This window comes from Homo sapiens, chromosome 12, assembly GCF_000001405.40.
Source record: "Homo sapiens chromosome 12, GRCh38.p14 Primary Assembly".
Taxonomy (NCBI): Eukaryota; Metazoa; Chordata; class Mammalia; order Primates; family Hominidae; genus Homo; species Homo sapiens.
This window is the reverse complement of record NC_000012.12, coordinates 110,520,834-110,542,496: the sequence shown is the minus strand read 5'-3', so window position 1 is coordinate 110,542,496 and position 21,663 is coordinate 110,520,834. Positions and strand designations below refer to the sequence as shown.

The 21,663-nt window shown below is 42.8% G+C and overlaps 2 protein-coding genes across 21 annotated transcripts in view, besides 3 other annotated features; one reads left to right on the top strand and one right to left on the bottom strand.

Moving 5' to 3' along the window:
• PPTC7 (protein phosphatase targeting COQ7) overlaps nt 1-9,252 on the top strand; it is a 50,074-nt gene extending 40,822 nt beyond the window's left edge. For 2 of the 4 annotated variants that reach the window (NR_138550.2, NM_139283.2), the window contains 3 exons: nt 2,552-2,675; nt 4,224-4,353; nt 5,402-9,252. Coding sequence is in view for 3 of the 4 variants with exons in the window: in NM_139283.2 (NP_644812.1) it covers nt 2,552-2,675; nt 4,224-4,353; nt 5,402-5,460 (313 nt within the window). In the remaining variant the exon portion in view is untranslated. Of the gene's footprint in view, nt 1-2,551; nt 2,676-3,741; nt 3,771-4,223; nt 4,354-5,401 lie in introns of those variants that run through there. The other 2 variants (XM_024448870.2, XM_024448869.2) reach the window with 2 other exon arrangements.
• Nucleotides 1,043-1,543: an enhancer, noted in NCBI's record as "H3K4me1 hESC enhancer chr12:110978759-110979259 (GRCh37/hg19 assembly coordinates)". NCBI's record gives its function as "activates a minimal SCP1, AML or CMV promoter by ChIP-STARR-seq in primed H9 embryonic stem cells {active_cell/tissue: H9 hESC(primed)}" and the evidence as "EXISTENCE:reporter gene assay evidence [ECO:0000049][PMID:30033119]".
• Nucleotides 1,544-2,044: an enhancer, noted in NCBI's record as "H3K4me1 hESC enhancer chr12:110978258-110978758 (GRCh37/hg19 assembly coordinates)". NCBI's record gives its function as "activates a minimal SCP1, AML or CMV promoter by ChIP-STARR-seq in primed H9 embryonic stem cells {active_cell/tissue: H9 hESC(primed)}" and the evidence as "EXISTENCE:reporter gene assay evidence [ECO:0000049][PMID:30033119]".
• RAD9B (RAD9 checkpoint clamp component B) overlaps nt 8,941-21,663 on the bottom strand; it is a 31,226-nt gene continuing 18,503 nt past the window's right edge. For 12 of the 17 annotated variants that reach the window (NM_001286534.2, XM_024448860.2, NM_001286535.2 and 9 more), the window contains 2 exons: nt 20,086-20,320; nt 8,941-11,972 (listed from right to left, as the gene is read on the bottom strand). In NM_001286534.2, coding sequence (NP_001273463.1) covers nt 11,844-11,972; nt 20,086-20,320 — 364 coding nt within the window. In that variant the 3' untranslated portion in view covers nt 8,941-11,843. The remainder of the gene's footprint in view (nt 11,973-20,085; nt 20,321-21,663) is intronic. The other 5 variants (NM_001368052.1, NM_001286536.2, NM_001368053.1 and 2 more) reach the window with 2 other exon arrangements.
• Nucleotides 11,927-12,176: an enhancer, noted in NCBI's record as "active region_7007". NCBI's record gives its function as "activates an Ori minimal core promoter by ATAC-STARR-seq in GM12878 lymphoblastoid cells {active_cell/tissue: GM12878}" and the evidence as "EXISTENCE:reporter gene assay evidence [ECO:0000049][PMID:35858748]".

Genomic DNA, 21,663 nt, shown 5'->3' with positions numbered 1-21,663 from the left:
TTTCACCATGTTGGGCAGGCTGGTCTTGAACTCCTGACCTCAAGTGATCTGCCCACCTTGGCCTCCCAAAGTGCTGGGATTACAGGTGTGAGCCACCACCCACAGCCCGCTATGAGCAGTTTCTTTGATTCTCTCCAGATCTATTCCCTGCATATAGAAGCATCCATGTCTGTGTGTCTTTCTGCCTTTTTTTTTTTACGGAAATGGTTGCACATACGACACACCGTCTTCACCTTGCTTTCTTCAACAGTATATTGAAGAGTTTTTTCCCCCAATTTGGAGAGTCAAATATTTTGCTGCTTCATTCAGTTATGCAACAGATATTTCTTCTATTTTTTTTTTTTCTTGAGATGGAGTCTTGCTCTGTTGCCCAGGCTAGAGTGCAGTGGCGCCATCTCAGCTCACTGCAACCTTCAGCTTTGGGGTTGAAGCAAGTGATTCTCCTGTGTCGGCCTCCCAAGTAGCTGGGATTATAGGCGCACGCCACCATGCTTGGCTAACGTTTGTATTTTTAGCAGAGATGGGGTTTCACCATGATGGCCAGGCTGGTCTTGAACTCCTGACCTCAAATAATCTGCTTGCCTCGGCTTCCCAAAGTGCTGGGATTACAGGGGTGAGCCACCACGCCTGGTCAAGATATCAAGATATTTCTTGAAGACGTGTTACATGAGGCACACTAATAAATACCTACGTATGATGACCACTTTGGGACCCTTGGGAGACACAGAGTCCTTACTATGCCAAAATACTGTAGCTATTTCCGGTGAATGTATTCTTTTTTTTTTTTTTTTTTTTTGAGACGGAGTTTAGCTCTCGTTGCCCTAGCTGGAGTGCAATGGTGCAATCTCAGCTCACTGCAACCTCTGCCTCCCAGGTTCAAGTGATTCTCCTGCCTCAGCCTCCCTAGTAGCTGGGATTACAGGCGTGTGCCACCACGCCCAGCTAATTTTTTGTATTTTTGGTAGAAACGGGTTTTAACCAGGCTGGTCTCAAACTCCTGACCTCAGGTGATCCGCCCGCCTTGGCCTCCCAAAGTGCAGGGATTACAAGCGTGAGCCACTGCGACTGGCAAGTGAATGAATTATTTTTTTCCTTTTTCTTTTTCTTTGAGATGGAGTCTCACTCTGTTGCCAGGCTGGAGGGCAGTGGCACGATCTTGGCTCACTGGCTCACTGCAACCTCCATCTCCCGGGTTCAAGCAATTCTCCTGCCTCAGCCTCCTGAATAGCTGGGATCACAAGCGTGTGCCACCACGCCTGGCTAATTTTTTAATTTTTAGTAGAGACGGGGTTTCACCGTGTTGGTCAGGCTGGTCTTGCACTCCTGACCTCAGGTGATCCACCCACCTTGGCCTCCCAAAGTGCTGGGATTACAGGCGTGAGCCACCACACCCAGCAGTGAATGAATTCTTATAAGATTGGCGGCTGGGCGCAGTGGCTCACGCCTGTTATCCCAGCACTTTGAGAGGCCAAGGCGGGCAGATCACGAGGTCAGGAGATCAAGACCATCCTGGCCAACATGGTGAAACCCTGTCTCTACTAAAAATACAAAAAATTAGCCGGGCATGGTTGCGGGCACCTGTAGTCCCAGCTACTCGGGAGGCTGCGCCAGGAGAATGGCGTGAACCCAGGAAGCGGAGCTCGCAGTGAGCCGAGATCGCGCCACTGAACTCCAGCCTGGGCGACAGAGCGAGACTCTGTCTCAAAAAAAAAAAAAAGATTGGCATGTTGTTCTCCACAGGTATTCATCATCCCACCCTCACTATGGCACTCCAGGACCCAGATTCAAATATTCGAGGAAACTGATGAGTGAAATATGTGAATAAGAGGGGGTGGGCTGGGTGGCTGGTGATTACAGTGGCTCATGCCTGTAATCCCAGCACTTTGGGAGGCCGGGGCAGGCGGATCACCTGAGGTCAGGAGTTCAAGACCAGCCTGGCCAACGTGGCAAAACCCTGTCTCTACTAAAAATGTAAAAACAAATTAGGCGTGGTGGTGCATGACTGTGGTCCTACAGGCACTATTTTACATGCCTGTAGTCCCAGCTACTTGGGAGGCTGAGACAGGAGAATCGCTTGAACCCAAGAGGCAGAGGTTGCAGTGAGCCTATATCGTGCCACTGCATTCCAGCCTCGACAACAGAGCGAGACTTGTCTCCAAAAAAAAAAAAAAAAAAGGCGGGGGGGGATGGAATTCGGCTGTAAAGAATTAGGAATAAAGACTCATTTCCACTAGGATTTTAGAGGTGTGTTAGATCTGACTCAGAAGAGGACCCTTCCTCCCTCCTTCTCAGCCACTTGTGACTAATCATCAGACTTGGTTTTACTCGGTAGTTTCAGTTAAAAATTTGAAACATTTATATTAGAATTTTCGATTAACTTTTTTCAGAGTTGGGAATTTCAGAATGACTTTTTTTAAAAATTGACTCCATTATGATAAATCAGTTTTTCTTGCAGAAAGCTTATTACATTGTAAAATAGTGCCTGTAGGACATTTTCAACTCATCTGTAAAGGGCCTTCTTAACTTTGTCCCTCCCCTGTCCTTGCCACAGTCCGGATGCTGCTGATAGCACGTCTTTCGATGTCCAGCTAGGAGACATTATCCTGACGGCAACAGATGGACTCTTTGACAACATGCCTGATTATATGATTCTTCAGGAGCTAAAAAAGTTAAAGGTAATTAACTCAAAGGTTAGCTCTTGGGAAAAGTGGCCCTCTCTGGATAGCTGAGTTTTATGGATTCAGTTGCATTATCTCTTTGTAGTTTTGGAAAGAACTATTTTGTGAATTTCAGGAAAATAATAATAGCTCTGGTCTTTCAAATAATTAGAGCACTTGGAAAAAGAAGCTTCCTACCCAAGGTTTTCATAGGCTGGTAGAAGTAGGAAAAGTCTAGATGGAGGGCATTTCTTGTTTGTATCTTTATTTATATTTTAATGGTGTCGGGTCCTGGTTGTTTCTCCTTTTATTCTTCTAACACCCAGCAGGTGTTGAATCAGGCAAAGACAGGAAATAGTCATGCCAGAGCCAGCCAAAGGCAGCAGGCCACTGGAAGCCTCAGTGTGACCTGAGCTGCCACCAGTAACCAAATAGTATGGGTTTCTCCCATAGAGGAAGGAGGTGAAACTAGGCTTTCAATTTTTTCCTGGCTTTGTGAACATACTCTGGGAAAAATGAGTCTTTTTCTCATGAGTCTTTACCTCTAACCAGTATGACTTTGGGTACGTTTCTTTCTTTTTTTTATTATTTATTGAAGTTGCTGAGATCTGAGGGTTTCTTAAAACTGTTTAAGCAGTATTTTCTTCATATAAAATGGGGCATCCTAAAGATCCTCTTTTATAGGGTTGCAGTGAGGATTAACTACAGCCCTGTGTAGGAACTCCTTAGCGCCACGCCTTGTCTGTGGAGTGCAGTCAGTGTGAGGTGCTTCCTTGTCACAGGCACCGTGCTCTGTGTGGTGACACAGTGGTGAGCAGAATCTACACAGTCCCTACCTGTATGGAACTTACATCCTAGTGGAGGAAAATAGATAAATACAGGGAAGTAAATCTATGATGTAATGTGGGTGCTAAATAAGAAAAACAAAGCTGGATAAGGGAATAGAGAGTAGAAGGGACTGCTACTACTTTAGATAGATTGGTCAGGAAGGGCCTTTTTGAGGAGGTGACATTGAAGCAGAGACCTGTCATTATACTGAAACTAGAGCTGAAGTGGACCTCGTGTTCCCATCCCCGTTTTGCAGATGAGGAAGTTGGAGCAGCAAGGATAAAGGTATGGCCCAAGATTTCACAGCTCGACAGGAATCTCTTCCTGATATAAAATTCTGAAGGTATTTTCACTAGAGCAACTGGTAGCTCTTGGAGAGCAAACTGGGGTTGGCCAGGCTGTGTTCCTAAGCAAGGAAGCTTTTGAGGTATCCTTCAAAGGCTATCAGAATCTGCCTTTTCAGTTCATCCTATTTTAGCAAGAATACCTTAAGAATTTCAAATGGGAAAAAAAGCAAAAATGAAAATCCAAACTTTAGGGCTTAAGGCCACCAAAGCAAAGGACTTTCTGATTGATACCTTGTGCAGGCAGCACTGGAGTCTTGTTCATATTAGCCAGGGCATGATGTTTTAATGTCTTTTCTAACTAGAATAAAACTTACATGATGGAAAAGGTGGTTAGATAAATGTTACTGTCTTGAGCATTATGGTAAAATAACTTCCTCATGCTTTATCTTAGAATTCAAATTATGAGAGTATACAACAGACTGCCAGAAGCATTGCTGAGCAAGCTCATGAGCTGGCCTATGACCCAAATTATATGTCACCTTTTGCACAGTTTGCATGTGACAATGGATTGAATGTGAGAGGTAAGCATTCTTTGGGAAGGTCATAGGGACTGACTGGGGACATGGTGTCAGTAGAGTGGAGCATTCTGGGCTCTGGGTGAGACTGTGGAGGTGTCCTCTCCCAGCCCCCAAACTGTGCACTTGTGGCTTTCAGCAAGGTCAGGAGGATGAGAGCAAGTGCATTTCGTCATGTCTTCCCCACACAGCATGCCCTTCAGAACTGAACCTCATTGGCGGCAGAGGCAGGTGGAACCTGAAGCCCTTTATTGCCGCCACCGCAATGCTTGGACCTGAACCCAAAAGGCTTCCGAGCTCTGCCCAGAGTGCGTGGACATTCCTAACAGTTTAACATTCAGCCTTTCACGTGTCTGACATTTCGCTTCTCCCTTCCTCTGGCTTTGTGGGACTCAACAGTATTTGCCTGACAAATTGCCACAGCAGGGTTTGAAGAGGGAAGCAATGTGAAACTGCCCTTGACTGAAGACTTGTCCTATCTACAGCATGATGTGTGACTTTGGGAGCAGGCCAGTGGCTCCGTCTCAGGGCTGGGACATGTTGGTGCTAGCATATCAGAGCTAGTAGAATTAGTTTCTTGTTGGTATAATTTTATGACATGTGAAACATTTCTTAGTCCTCCAAAAAATGTTAAAATAGAAAAAGTGCATGCCATAGCTGTTTGGCAGATTAGAATACAAGGCTATTCCTAGTTTCAAAACATTGGATATGTCTGTCTAAATTAGGATTGTGGGTATAGAAGCATGTAACTTTCTCGTCAGATTCACTGTGATTGATGTGAACAGAGGGTGTGGTGGCTGTTTGAATAGAGCTCCTGTTGTAAAGGAGCAGGGAAGATTTTTTTTTTTAAGCTTCAGTTTCATGTAATTTCTTGGAGTTTTGTTTAACTGTTTTTTTTTAATCAAATATTTTTTTCTTTATTCTACTAGGGTATACTGACAAACCAAAACTGCCTGGAATGCAAGCATTTGTCTCCTAGTACTTAATTTAAGTACACATTTTTTATTGACTTTTCCTTTTAAAATATACTGATAGGTTCTCATTTTCATTGTAGGTGGAAAGCCAGATGACATCACCGTCCTTCTTTCAATAGTGGCTGAGTATACAGACTAGCTGAGGTGTCAAGTCCTGCCTTTCCTTTCATCATCCCAAATTTCCCCTGCCATGTGTGCTGATCCTGCTGGCAGGACCACATTTCTTTGCCACTGATCTCAATGGCCAGTGATGTAAGTCTTTTGCCTGTCTTCTTGAGACTCGTTGAGATCTTTGTTGAGAACCACTACTATCATTCACTAGCTCATATCTGCCGGCAGCAATTGAAGAGATCCAATATTTGAAGATTGGCCTTCATTTCTCGATGTTCTTTCCATGATGGGGATGGAGGTGTTCAGTGCCACCGTGGCTGTTACTTTTCAAAGTAGTTGAAGTATTGAAAATGAGTAATGTTGGTAAAGTGAATTCAAAATCCTAGTATGCTAAAGGGATGGTACAAGTCTAACACAAATTGTACGTAATGATACATCTACTAGAAACATACATTATTCATCAAAAGAAATGTTACATGTGTACTCCACAGGCATAGTCTTTGTTATGATGATTGGTGTGGCTTTATGTCTTTGTTATAAACTCCTATTTTTCAGGGGCTTATGATTCTGCTCTAAAACATTGCTCTGGGTTATACAGTTTTGATCCCAAAAGCTTTTTTGTTACAAATCGGGAGAAAAATCCATTTTAGTTCTATGGATGGAAATATTTCATGCTTTTAAAAAGATGTTTGTGTTCCTGTGGTTAAAGTTTTGGCAGTTTATTGATTAGTCCAAATCACAGGCTAAGGCCTGATCTCCAGGAGGGGTAGGGGAGACACTTTACCAGTATTTTTTTATGGAAATAATACTCAAGGTTGTAAAACCCCTCAAAGCCTAGAAATTTAATTGTTATGGCTGAAATTCCTCCTAGTTGTCTGATAGAATGCCCCTGAATGGGAACTCTAGGTCCCAAGGCCTGAAGGGTTGAGAACAGACAGCTGTAACTTTGAATTTTGTTGGCTTTCAGTGGTCATGCTACCTACCCATACTCGTACTCTCAGACCTTTTATTAGTAGCCTTGCTTTCTATAGAGCATGCACCAAATCCAGTGAGTCCATGTGGAGAGAGCACTGTGTGCGCAGCGGCAGCAGCACAGACGTCCATGAGGAAAACTCCCAGTGATGATCTGACATTTACAATTACCCCACATGGAAATTTAGGGGTTTCTGAATCAAGCTTAATGTTTACAGTTTCCAAATAGCCATTTTGCAGTGTATAGTTTCCTTACAAAACTACCCCGCATTCAGTTTTCACATTATCTGCAAGCTGAAACTTATTTTTAAGTTTTGTGTACAAGTTGACTGCTGTAAAGATATATATTTTTGGGTCAGTTTTTTTCCTTCATTAACTTGGTGGTAGAAAAAAATATATACTTAGAAATCCTTAAATTAAAGCCATGTTTTATATATAAGTCAGGTAACATTGGTGTATAGATGAGAATGCAATTAAACCTGATGAGAATCTACTTGAGAATATAGAAAGTCTTTCTCTAAAGGAGATACTGACTCCCTGGTTTATTGCATTAAAATTTATGTTTGAGGTTACCTCAACTTGTTTTAAAAGATTTTGTTTTGTGAATTTGTACTGTATATTTGAGTAACTGTCAGGCTTTTATTTAAAATTGTTTAACATGTACCATGTACATGTCATTACTATATTTCAATGCATCATGCTTGTAACAGGCATTTCATTTATAATAAGAATGAGTTATTCATTTGTAAGCCGTTCAGTAATTTATCTACTATTCCTAAATTGGCATAATGTTAGATAATCTATTTTGAATCACCTTTAATTACATGTCAGAATGCCTTAACTACCCTAACTTGACAAAACAGAATTCTTTGGTAGACGCGGTGGGGGCGGGGTGGGGGGTCTGGACGGAGTCTCTATTTAAGGAGAAATCATCATGCTATGATAAAACACAGAAGCATGAGTGGCAAGTGGCGGGGTATTTATTTTGCACAAACTATTTGCAGTCTCTGTGTATTTAAAAAGTAAAGAAAGTTGCATCCAGAAGGGTTTTGTTAGAATGAATACATTTATATTAGGACTGACAACTTCAGCTCTTTTGTTTAGGTTTTCAATTATTTTTGGTAAGAGTATGTAGCCTTATGATCTGGATATATTTTGCATTCATTTTCCAACGCCTACATTTAATTCCTGGTAAGAGCAGTGCTCGTCAAGTTTCTGGTTTTTCTCTGCTCTCATTTAACCCGTCAAACACAATCTTTGTAAAGCTAGATTGGTGGTGTTTTATACAACTTATTTACTCAGCTTACCTTTTTGAGAAACGATTGTTAGAAATTGACGATGTGTTTGTTCCAGTGATACTGAAAGTAGTGGGGGCAAGAATTGAGTTTCACAGTGGAATTGGCTTTGGATCTGGCCTATAGATTAGTGACATAAAATATTTTCTCTATTTTCCCCTGTTCTTTTTGTGTTATGCACTTAATTTTATGACTGCCGGGGGGGTCAGCTGGAGTGCTGCTTAACAAGTATCTCTCCTACTCTCAGTGGTCAGAGGCTGTGTTGGACCCATAGTAGAATTTTCCAGGTCACAGACCCAAGCTTCCATGGGTTGTTACTGTGCTGTACCACTTGGTGGGTCTGATTCTGAACCTGATGTGTGTGTTAATTATATTTTAAGCAACACACACACACACACACGCCTCATGTAATGGACTTTTATAACAAAAGAAAAAATTTGGATTTCTAATTTACAAATGGCAAATTATTTATCCCTCTCTGGATGCACCAAAGACCAGTAAAGTTTATAGCTTTTCCATCTATATTTATAAAGCAATACTGTATTATAAAAATCAATATTTTTATCACATGCTTGAAATTTTTATTTTGTTGTTTTAAAATGTGCACTCTAAACATATCAGAACCTTATTTCTTCCTATGAACTTAAGCTGCCTGCGCACAAAAAAAAAAAAAATTTACCAAATGGAGATGCAGTAGAGTCCATAGGCTCTAAAAACTAAAAGAAATGGGATGCAGGGGGAACAAGTTATTTGTCCTGAGTTACTGTACTTGCTTGACATGGTTGTTGGGTACTAAATCACAAAAGAATCCATTCCAGGTATGCATGTCTGGGGGTTGGGCTGTGTCTAGATTAGAAACTGGGTTTCAAGCTTTGCATGATGGGAGAGCGTCCTCTCCTCTATCAGCTGCGTGTGTTCTGGATAGGACAGTAGCCCGGAGATGGAAACCACCTTCAGTACCATTAGCCCACCATACCAAGTAACAAGTTAGGCAGGAATCGTGGGAATTTATTGAGTCAGCTTTGAGTGTTTGAGAGAATGTAAACAAGATTGGCTCGAATTGTAAACGTTTGTACTTTGGATGAGTTCATGGTTCTTTAGGTCACCTTAATACCAGCTATCTTTGGTAGAAGCTACAGCATTCAGTTTCTCTGGAAACTGTATCACATTTTTGCATTTTAAAAATTTTACAGTATCAAAAAACCAAAATCTGCTTATGAAACAAAACATGAAGCAGGACATATTTGGATTCTATTTATTTAAAATTAAATTCTTTGCAAAATTGAACTTCTCAACTAAAACGTGTCCATGTCAGAATTTTAACTGTTAGCAGGTAGTTTGTGGCAAAGATGGCTAAATAATGAAGCAAATTAGAATCTGTGTGTATACTAATGAGCTGCTTTTTTTCTGTTGAGACTATCATTATTTGTCTTATTACCCAAGAGGCAATTACCTGAATTTGGATGTCTGAATTATAACTTATGCAGGAATAGTTCTGTAAATACATTTAAATAAACTGTAAAGATATTTAATAAATATAGTATTTATACTAATCTGTGTGCTTCTTTTGGTTTGAATAGTAACTAAATGAGACACCAGCCCTTGACATTGAGTTTGTTGGTCACTATCAGGTCCTCATTTCCAAGCCTCCTAGTCATTCTAGCACTGATTATATGCTGCTACTTTAACTGGCTCCAGCTGCTTCACTACATCAGTTTAGCTTCCTCAGAAATTCATCAAAATGGACGGACAATTAAATGTAAATTATAGAACTTTTTCCCAGCTGAGGCTTTGCACCTTCCGTATAGTATAGAGGGAAGCTACAAAAAAAATCTGCTGTACAGTCAGTCGTGTTGTTTAACAGAGATGTTCTGACAGATGCATCCTTAGCAATTTCATCATTGTGTACTGACACAAGCCTAGATGGTCTAGCCTACTACACATCTGGGCTATATGAATAGCCTGTTGCTCCTAGGCGACAAACCTGTATAACATGTTACTGTACTGAATACTGTAGGCAGTTGTAACACAACAGTAAGCATCTGTATATCTAAACATAGAAATGTTTCAGCAAAACTATGGTATGAAAGACAAAAAAATGGTACACCTGTATAGGGCAGCTCCATTATCTTATGGGACCACCACTGTCTGTGCAGTCCATCGTTGACCAAAACGTTGTTATGCAGCACATGACTGTATTTCAGCTTAGCACTCTGTATCCAAATTCTAAAATCCAAAGTGCCCAGCTAATTTTTGTAGAGATGGGATCTCACCATGTTGCCCAGGCTAGTCTTGAACTGCTGGGCTCAACTGATCCGCCCACCTGGGCCTCCCAAAGTGCTGGGATTACAGGCATGAGCCACTACACCCCGCCAGTATTAACTATAATAATAGTCCAATGCTGCATCCAGGCTATTACTGATGATGATGCCTTTAAGACCTAAACCCCTCTGCCTACTTCAATGAATGAACCAGAAATGTTATCCTCAGCAAAGAGACCTACAGAGTTACTTTTGTGTATAAAAGCTCCCTGTGTAGGCATCTGCATTTGTTAGAAATACCAGAAATTCAGTGTTAATCATCAGTGTAAGCATAAGATACATATATCTTCCCCTACCATGTGATGAAAGGACTTAGTTGAAATTATGTGGGCATTGCCAGTTACCACAAAAAGCTTGGTTAAGGCCCATTTTCATTCACTAAGGAACATCTTGGGATGAACTTGAGTTTTTATTAGGTTATTGTGGGTAGCTATGACTCATTACTAAGCTACAAGAGCCAAATTAATTCTGGTTTCAGTTAGAACTCTATTCACAGTTCTAAAGCATGCAAATCCACTCAGCCACCTTTATGAATTTCTCACAAAGTCTAAAGTACAACTGCTTGCCAGTTAACACTTCCTTACGGTTTGAAGGTTTCAGAAAGATGTAACAATAATATGTTACAAAAGTCTCGTTTGTCAGGTTATAATTGACTGTAAACAGGTTTGGGGGAGGGAGAGGCACACATCATAAGACATTACATAACAATGTTTTGTGCCAGATTTTTTAGTCCATTTGTGCAGGTAAAAAGCTAACTCTTAAAGGGCCAAAGAACAGAGACATTTGTCTTCCACCTTATTCCACTCCAAACTCAGGCTGTCTTGGCAGTGGAGGATACTGTTCTATGTCAGATAATACAGAAATATTTGGCATCACTTCCATTAAATTCTTTCCTGCAGCACACTGCAAAATAAAAAATCACATCTGAAAATCAGAACAATTTGAGGTTAGGAAATAAAATTTTACAATATGTAAAAACACTCCAGGTTGGGCGCAGTGGCTCAAGTCTGTAATCCCAGCACTTTGGGAGGCCGAGGTGGGCAGATCACTTGAGGCCAGGAGTTCAAGACCACCCTGGCCAACATGGCGAAACCCTGTCTCTACAAAATACCAGAAATTAGCCAGGCATGGTGGCACGCACCTGCAATCCCAGCTGCACGGGAGGCTGAGGCAGGAGAATCGCTTGGACCTGGGAGGCAGATGTTGCAGTGAGCAGAGATTGCACCACTGCACTTGAGCCTGAGTGACAAAGTGAGACTCCGTCTAAAAAAGCCAAGTGAAAGTGACTATATATTTTTACTCTTGATCTTTTTTCCAGGGTTTATTCTACTTAAAGTCTTAAAATATAAAAAACAATGCACAAAAAAGGCCATGGTATTACATGAGAAAACTAAAATCCAAATGTTTGCAATCAAATACAAAAGATACCTGACTACAAATCACAAAATTCCATTTCAAGCCATCTTGATGGCACTCTAAATGGCTGTTGAATAAAGTTTAAATACCTTTATAAAACTAGCAAAGATGTTAAAAGCTCTAGGGTGAACGTGCATTGAATTGAAGAACTCTAATGGGCTTTTTTCCTTCACAGAAAACTCTTCTGCCTCACAAGTAGCATAATGGATTTAAAGCAAGTTACATACACTTGACAAACAGCTATTTCTAGATATGGTTGTTGTACAAGATGATGTGGTTTAAAAGCCCATCCTCCATTAAAAGGAAGTCCTGGACAACCTCTTTTAGACACTAAACATGCAAACTCGTGCTTGAGGGGCAAATGAGCCAGTCACTGGGCTGGGGCCCAGCTCAGCCATCATTAAGCATTAGAATATAGAGAAACTGCCATTATTCATGTCCTCTTCACTGTCACTTGCTCTTGCCAGACTGTCGAAAGGGTGGTTGAAGTGTTCTTGCTGGTCAGAAGAAACTGCTCCAAAGAACATGCAAGAAAACTGGAGGGAAAAAAGGAACTGCATTGTTGATTCCAAAGAGAAAGTTTGCTCATTAAATGCTCCAGGTGACAGCCCTCCTCAGAAACCTGACCAGTATTATATCCCTGTCTTTGCTGGTGATGGTTCACAGAACACCCAGAACCTTCATTATTGGTCCAACACGTCCTAAAACCAAACCTTGGCCGCGCATGGTGGCTCACGCCTGTAATCTCAGTACTTTGAGAGGCCAAGGTGGGCGGATCACGAGGTCAGGAGATCGAGACCATCCTGACTAACATGGTGAAACCCCGTCTCTACTAAAAATACAAAAAAAAATTAGCTGGGTGTGGTGGCGGACACCTGTAGTCCTAGCTACTCGGGAGGCTGAGGCAGGAGAATGGCGTGAACCCGGGAGGCGGAGCTTGCAGTGAGCCGAGATCGTGCCACTGCACTACAGCCTGGGGACAGAGCAAGACTCCATCTCAAAAAATTAAACAAAAAAAACAAACCTTTCCCTGCCTTCAAAGGCACATGACAATCTTCAGTTTGGGATCAATGGTCTGCTGCTGACTCCCCTCCTGAGCCATCAAAGCTTCCACCAGAACTGAGAGGCAGAGGTCAACGAAGCCTCCGTAAGCCACTGGATTAATTAATCCATCTTCTTCCCTTCCCCTCCTGCTACGGCAGAAGCCACTCTTCCAAGTTAAAGCCAGTCCTTTCCTCCCTATCTCTGCATCCCAGCACCCTGGGAATGTTAGCATTTTCAAATGCTCAAATGCCTCTCATCTTCACCTTTTTATTTGTTATCAGGTTTTGCCCTATTGCCCAGGTTGCAGTGCAGCTGTGTGATCACGTCTCACCGCAGCCTCAAACTCCTGGGCAATCCTCCCACCTCAGCCTCTGGAGTAGCTGTAACTACAGGTATGCACAACCATGCGCAGCCTTTTTTTTTTTTTCCGTAAAGACCAGGTCTTGCTACGTGGCCCAGGCTGGTCTCAAACTCCTGGCTTCAAGCAATCCTCCTGCCTTCACCTCCCAAAGTGCTAGAATTACAGGCATGAGCCACTGTGCTCAGTCTTCTTATCTTTAAAATACAGAAATAGCCAGGCACGGTGGCCCACGCCTGTAATCCCAGCACTTTAGGAGGCTGAGGCAGGTGGATCACCTGAGGTCAGGAGATCGAGACCAGCCTGGCCAACATAGTGAAACCCCGTCTCTACTAAAAATACAAAAAATTAGCTGGGCATGGTGGCGGGCACCTGTAATCCCAGCTACTAGGGAGGCTGGGGCAGGAGAATCACTTGAACCTGGGAGGCAGAGGTTGCAGTGAGCTGAGATTGAGCCACTGCCAGCCTGGGCAACAAGAGCGAAACTCCATCTCTAAACAAACAAACAAATAGCCTAACCTCATCCCATTTCCCCCTTCAGTTACTGCTTTATCTCTAATTGTAGAGCTGTCTACACCCACTGTCTCCATCTTCTCATTCTCCTACTCTTTACTTAAAAAAAGCTTCTCCAGGCCCGGCACGGTAGCTCACGCCTGTAATCCCAGCACTTTGGGAGGCCAAGGCGGGTGGATCACCTGAGCTCAGGAGTTCGAGACCAGCCTGAGCAAGATGGTGAAACCCTGTCTCTACTAAAATACAAAAAATTAGCTGGGTGTGGTGATGCATGCCTGTAATCCCAGCTACTTGGGAGTCTGAGGCACAAAAATCACTTGAACCCGGGAGGTGGAGGTTGTAGTGAGCCAAGATTGTGCCCCTGCACTCCAGCCTGGGCAACAGAGCAAGACTGTCTCAAACAAACAAAAACAACAAAAAAAGCTTCTCCCTCACTGACCCCCATATCACAGAAACTTATGGTCAACAGAATTTACCACATCCTTAAAGTCAGGACCCATTTTCAGTCCTCCCCACTTGTTATTCACTCTGACATCTTTCTCATGCCGCACTCTCCTGGCTAATCTCAGCTCAGCCAGCTTGCCCTCTTCTAAGCAGCCTCTGAACTTGGGTTACTTAACCTCAGCGCTGCTGCCATTTGAGGCCTTATGAGTCTTTGGTGTAGAGCTGTCCTGCAGGGAGGAAGATGGTGGGCGGCACTGCGGGTCTTTACCCGCTACATGCAATTAGCATTCCCTTAACATATCCAAAACTGAATTCATGATCTTACTAAGCCCTGAATCTACTTCTCCAAACCTAAGACCTCCCTGGATACCTTTTTCCTTAACCCCCATAACCAATCCATCACCAAGTCCTGCTAGTTTTGGCTCCTAAATGAACTATTTCAGCCGCCTCTCTCCACTTCTCATCTAAGTAATCACCATCTCTCAGATGCTACAATTGGGTGACTATTGCCTCACTGAAGCCCGTTTTTCATATAACACTTTCAGCTAAAGTCATCCAGTCAACATTCAGTCTGTCAGCCCTCCCAGGTAAAGCCATTCAAATATTTTAAATACCCAGGTACTTTGGCCGCTTGCACAGCTTCCAGGACTCTCCAGCATGATCTGGCTCTTACCAAGCACTCTAGCCTCCCCTTGTGCCACTGTCTCCCTCTGGCTCTGATCTCCAACCACAGTGGCCATCCCTCAGCTCCTTCAAGCCCCCAGGCTCCCTCCCCTGCTGGGGCCTTTGCACAGGCCGCCCTCCCTGAGCTCTACTCCCACCCCCATGCCCTCATCCTTTCCAGCTCAGCTCAAACACCAGTTTCAAGGGGAAGACGTTCTGACCTGGATTAAGGCAGTACATACCATTAAATCTTCTCCAAGCACCCTGAACTTCTCCTTTATTGAACTAAACACAGCCTTTCAAAAATTATATATTTAGTCATGTTATACCTATACCCTAGTCCCGATACGTGATACCCGCTCTAGTCTCTAAACAAGTTGAGGAAGCTTGTTTATTTTGTTCACTGTAGTATCCCTCGCATGGCTGTCTAGGACACAGCTCTCAAGAAATACTTGGAGCTGCACAGTACCACAAGACAACAAATGAATGAGCCCTGTTCTTGGGTCATCCTCACGTCTCAGAAGGTGAAGATGCCCTCTGCAAGGCTTGCCTTGCAGCTGTTGAACCTGCTCTCCAGATAGCCGTGATACTGGCTGTGGCAGGCAGGAAAATGGTTCCCAGAGGTCCATGTACTAAGCCCATGAACCTCTGAAGATGTTATGTCACACTGCAAAGAGGAATTAAGGTAGCAGTTGGAATTAAGGTTTCTAATTGCTGATGTGGAATAGCCAGGTGGGCCCAATGTAATCACAGCGATCCATAGAAATGGAAGAGGGAGACAGAAGACTTAAGGTCAGAGTGCGGCTGTGTGGAAAAAACGGCCGTTGCTGATTTTGAAGCTGGAAAAGAACTACAAAGCAAAGAATGGAAGTGGTCTCTAGAAGCTGGAAAGGGCAAGAAAGCAGATTCTCCCCCAGAGTCTCCTGAAGGGAACACAGCTCTGATGACACCTTGATTTTAGCCCATTGAGACCCAATTAGGACTTCCGACCTTTGGAACTGTAAGATACTCAATTCATGTTGTTTCAAGCCACTAAATTTGTGGCAATTTGTTAAAGGGTCATTGGGAAACTAACATACTGATCTGGCCATAATTGGAGGCATGGTTTCTTTTCTTTTTTTTTTTTTTTTGAGATGGAGTCTCGTTCTGTCGCCTAGGCTGGAGTGCGGTGGCATGATCTCAGCTCACTGCAAGCTCCGCCTCCTGGGTTCATGCCATTCTCCTGCCTCAGCCTCCCAAGTAGCTGGGACTACAGGCGCCCGCCACCACACCCAGCTAGTTTTTTGTATTTTTAGTAGAGATGGGGTTTCACCGTGTTAGCTAGGATGGTCTTGATCTCCTGACCTCGTGATCTGCCTGTCTCGGTCTCCCAAAGTGCTGGGATTACAGGCATGAGCCACCGTGCCCGACCAATTGGAGGCATGGTTTCAATTGCCTCTAAAGAGTCTAGTCTTCACCAAGGTCAAGAACCTAAGGCTAGAAAAGACCTAAATACAGCACCTGTGTCTGTTCAGTGTATATCATCACGTGCAAATAGCTCTTGATAATGTTTGTGGTGCTATATGAGACTTGAAAGCTGAGGTTTTCTTTAATCTTTGAGAGCTGCCCTGAATTTGCTACTGGCTTAGAGTAAATGCTATTTGCTACCCTCCCTTGTCCCCACCTTCAGCCTGTAAGTCTCATATGGCTGGATAATGGGGCCCTTCTCCATGTCTAGTAATCTAATGGAGGAAGCTTGAGAACACCCATGCAACTAGAAATTAACTTCAAGTCTAATATGAGTTGGGTAGGAAGAGAATTATAAAATCTTTTTTTTTTTACTAATATACATATTGTCCCTATTTTGATGCCCCTGAGAGCTGTGTATAACTTCTAGTTTAAACTTAATAAAAAATCCACAGCAGGCCAGGCGGGGTGGCTCATGCCTGTAATCCCAGACTTTGGGAGGCCAAGGCAGGTGGATCACCTGAGGTCAGGTGTCCGAGACCAGCCTGGCCAACACAGTGAAACCCTGGCTCTACCAAAAAAATACAAAAATTAGCTGGGCGTGGCCAGGTGCAGTGGCTCACGCCTGTAATCCCAGCACTTTGGGAGGCCAAGGCGGGTGGATCACGAGGTCAGGAGTTCAAGACCAGCCTGGCCAAGATGGTGAAACCCTGTCTCTACTAAAAACTACAAAAATTAGCCAGGTGTGGTGACAGGCGCCTGTAATCTCAGCTACTCGAGAGGCTGAGGTAGGAGAATCACTTGAACCCGAGTGGCAGAGGTTGCAGTGAGCCAAGATCATGCCACTGCACTCCAGCCTAGGCAACAGAGTGAGACATAGTATCAAAGTATCTCTCCACAAAATACTTACCAGTTGCTAAAAGAAAAACAGTAACTATATAGTAGAGAGCCGGCAGACACCACCTTGACCATATGATGGAAATTAACACCACCAATATGGAGAAAAACCAACCTGTGCCTCCAGATACGATGTACAAAGAGAACCCAACATTATTACTCTGTTGAATTCTTACCAAAAATACATAGTTTAAATTGAATCATGAGGAAACACAGAAAAAACCCAAAGTTAGGACATTCTACTAAAATGTCAAAGTAAAGGACAAAGCGGGCTGGGTGCAGTGGCTCATACCTGTAATCCCAGCACTTTGGGAAGCCAAGGAGGGCGGATCACTTGAGGTCAGGAGTTTGAGACCAGCCTGGGCAACATGGTGAAACCCCGTCTCTACTAAAAATACAAAAACTGGCCAGACACAGTGGCTCACACCTGTAACCCCAGCACTTTGGGAGGCCAAGGCGAGTGGATCACCTGAGGTCGGGAGATCGAGACCATCCTGGCCAACATGGTAAAACCCCGTCTCTACTAAAAAAAATACAAAAAAATTAGCTGGGCGTGGTGGTAGGCACCTGTATTCCCAGCTACTCAGGAGGCTGAGGCAGGAGAATCACTTGAACCCGGGAGGTGGAGGTTGCAGTGAACCAGATTGCACCACTGCAATCTAGCCTGGGCGAAAATGAAACTCCGTCTAAAAAAAACCAAATAAATAAAAAGAAGAAAGTCTTAAAGGCAGAGTAATAATCAAAATATTTGAAGTGATTATCTCTTATTTGTATTTTCTGATTTTTGTTCAATGAAATGATCATTGTACTGTTATACTGAATATTAAATGTGGAGGCCAGGCACAGTGACTCATGCCTGTAATCCCAGCATTTTGGGAGGCCAAGGCAGGCAGATCACTTGAGGCCAGAAGTTTGAGACCAGCCTGGCCAACCATATCTGGCTAATTTTTGTATTCGCAGTAGAGACGGGGTTTCACCATGTTGGCCAGGATGGTCTCGATCTCTTGACCTTGTGATCTGCCCACCTCGGCCTCCCAAAATGCTGGGATTACAGGCATGAGCCACCACGCCGGCCAATCTAAGAGTTTTAAAAGCAAGAGAGTGATAAGTAACAACAATAATTTTTTTCTTTTTGAGACGGAGTCTTGCTCTGTCGCCCAGGCTAGAGTGCAATGGCACGATCTCAGCTCACTGCAATCTCCGCCTCCCGGATTCAAGCAATTCTCCTGCCTCAGCCTCCTGAGTAGCTGGGATTACAGGCGCCCGCCACCATGCCCAGCTTATTTTTGTATTTTTAGTAGAGACAGGGTTTCACCAATCTTGGCCAGGCTGGTCTTGAACTCCTGACCTCGTGATCTGCCCGCCTCTGCCTCCCAAAGTGCTGGGATTACAGGCATGAGACACTGTGCCCAGCCAATAACTAAATTTTATCAAGCACTGACCATGTGCCTGTTGCATCTTTAGCTCAATCTTTACAATTCCATTTAGTGGGCATAATTATTATTACCCCCATTTTACTAAGGAAACTGAAGGCAAAATAAATAACTTGTCCAAGTTACGCAGTTAATACGTGGTAAGAGAGAGGTTTGAACCTTGGCATTTGAACTCTAGAGCCAGGGCTCTGAACCCCTGGGCCTCACTGTAGACCTCAGGTTTGGACAAAAATCTATGAGTACACTGTGGAAGAGAAGCAGGGTGAAGGAGAACAGAGGCACAGAGGATGGCAGGAAGCCCATGGAATTTCAGGCAGAACATGATAAGGGTCTACATCATTTACCCATAATGTAATTTCAGCTTTGCAGGAGTTTGCCACATTAAGGCAAATAATTCCCTTTAAAAATAGAGCCTTCTTTCAAGAATTTGGTGACACAATAGGAAATTTGGAGTAAAGAGTGCTGTAATGGTGCTCATGGAGATTAAAGTTCTAAATGTCATTTTCTCTAGCAAAGAAACTGGCAATCTTAGTGAATTTCAGGGACCTGAAGCAGCAGGAAGATGATTCCTGTTGTTGCCTGTGAAAAAGTAAGTACAATATGTGTGACTAGAAAAATAGGAGGGGACAATGCTTTTGTACAATGAGAACACAGATTTCAGTTTTCATTTTATGGCCAACTTAGTAACATACAGGAAGAGAAAATTGCCCTAAGTGTTGGGAATATAACAAGTACTCAATAAACACCTATGGTATCAAACTAAGTCCAGTTTACTAATCAAATTCTGCCCTAAAAGTCATATACAGCGTAATATGGTGAATTTTTTATTTTTTTAAGAAACAGTGTCTCACTCTGTTGCCCAGGCTGGAGTGCAGTTGTGCGATCATAGCTCACTGAAGCCTTGAACTACTGGGCTCAAGAGATCCTCCCACTTCAACCTCCTCAGCAGCTAGGTCTACAGCCACCACATCTGGCTAATATTTAAGTTTTTGTTGAGATGGGGTCTCACTCTGTCACTTAGGCTGGTCTTGAACTCGTAGCTCAAGAGATCTTCCCTCCTTGGCCTTCTAAAGGGCCGGGGTTACAGGCGTGAGTCACTGCACCCAGCCAAGATGGTGATGGTAACTTTCAAAAATATTATTTTTGCTTTCAAATTTCTAATTCTAACTAAGAAACTCATATCTCCAAACCAACAATAACAACAGCAAAACAAGCTTGAACAAAACATTAAACAAGTAAAATTAGGATTATCAATATTTGAGATACTTCAGTTTCTAATACATTGCTTACCTTCAGTTCAGTAGATTTCGTAAGGTTTAACACTACAGCATTCTGTAAAGCTTATCATCTATCTTATAGAATAAGATGTTATTAACTGGGACTCCACTATGAAGGAATTTGTGATATTTGTTGGGATGAAATTTACGTTTGTACTATTATGAATACAAGATTTACCAAACAAATTTGAAAAGTAAAATTAGAAGGAAACATTTTAGGAAACAAATTATTTATATGATCTCAGCATATTATTGTTATTCAAGATAGAATATACCATAAAAAAATCATAATTTATTCTTGGAAACAAGTGACCCAAACCTCTACTTGAATATGCTTTGTTAGAAATTACTGACTGAACAATTTAACTATTTTCTATTGATATTCTGTAAATCAGACTTTTCTCTATCAGACTTTTCTTCATTCTATAATTCAGACTAGCTTCACTTTTCCCCTATCAAAAAATAAGAAAATCAATTTTCAGAACATGGCTGGGTGGGGATTGGGGAGGAAGACTGCAAAGGGAGACAGATGAGAATTCTTGACTGAGATGTGGTTGAATCTCAATGCTTTTACCTTTCTGAGACACAGAGACCCTGGCACTTCCTCTGTGTTGCTGACACTGCTTTCTGATACTTCACTGACATCTCCATCCACTCTTTTCATTGCAGGGCTGCCACAGTTTTCCAATGCAGATATGTTTGTGAGAGTCTCCTTAGGATAAAGCCTTCTTGGTGCTGCTTTTTTTGAAATACATTCCAGGGCCTGGCCAGTTACATTTTTGCCAGCCTTTTTTTCAATCAGATCTGACCTGAGGTATTAATAGGCATTAAATGAATGAACTGTTTATTGTGAAATATATTTTTATATAACTAATGGACAATGTGGGATGACAATGATAGCACTGGATTAGGGAATATATTGAAATACATGGAACTAAATTGTTGCAAGTTAAAATTTATATATATGATCATTTATAAATTCTCTTGACAGACAATCTTTCAGTAAAGCAACTCATTGTGCATAGAATATCTTGTGATATGGTAACAGGAGCAAGTTAGGGGAAAAGTCAAGTAAATTACTATACATCTATATGATAAAATTGTGTACAGTCATTAAGAATCATGTTTTCGGCCGGGCACGGTGGCTCACGCCTGTAATCCCAACACTTTGGGAGGTCAAGGGGGGTGGATCACGAGGTCAGGAGTCCAAGACCAGCAGGGCCAAGATGGTGAAACCTCGTCTCTACTAAAAATACAAAAAAATTAGCCGGGCGTGGTGGCAGGCACCTGTAATCCCAGCTACTCTGGAGGCTGAGGCAGAAAACTGCTTGAACCCAGGAGGCGGAGGTTGCAATGAGCTGAGATGGCGCCACTGCACTCCAGCCCGGGTGACAAAGCGAGACTCTGACTCAAAAAAAAAAAAAAAAAAAGAATTATGTTTTCAAGTCATTATCAGTGATATTGAAACACACCCACAATACCAAAACCGCATATGCTCTATGATCCTAATCTTGTTTTAAAATACAAGGATAGGCCGGGTGCAGTGGCTCACATCTGTAATCCTAGCACTCTGGGAGGCCGAGGCAGGTAGACTGCTTGAGCCCAGGAGTTAAGAGACCAGCCTGGGCAACATGGTAAAACCCGATCTCTACAAAAAACACAAAAATTAGCTGGGTGTGGTGGCAGGTGCCTGTAGTCCTGGTTACTCAGGAGGCTGAGGTGGAATGCTTCAGCCTGGGAGGTTGAGACTATGATGAGCTATGACTGTGCTACTGCACTCCAGCCTGGGTGACAGAGTGAGACCCTGTCTCAAAAAATTTTTTTAAAAAATTTGAAAATACAAGTATACACAAAATTAAGTCTGAAAGAAAATGCAGTGAGCCAGAATGTTACAGTGGCTATCTCTGGGTGATGCAATTATGAGTAAGTTTTATTTTCTTCTTTGTACTTTTCTCTATTTTCCAAATTTCCTGAAATAACTTTTACAATAAAGCATCATTCTTCCCCCAAAAGAAAAGAAATTAAGAAAGAAAAAAAAGCCAGGCGCAGTGGCTCATGCTTGTAATCCCAGCGCTTTGGGAGGCTGAGGCGGGCAGATCACAAGGTCAGGAGTTCGAGACCAGCCTGACCAACATAGTGAAACCCCGTCTCT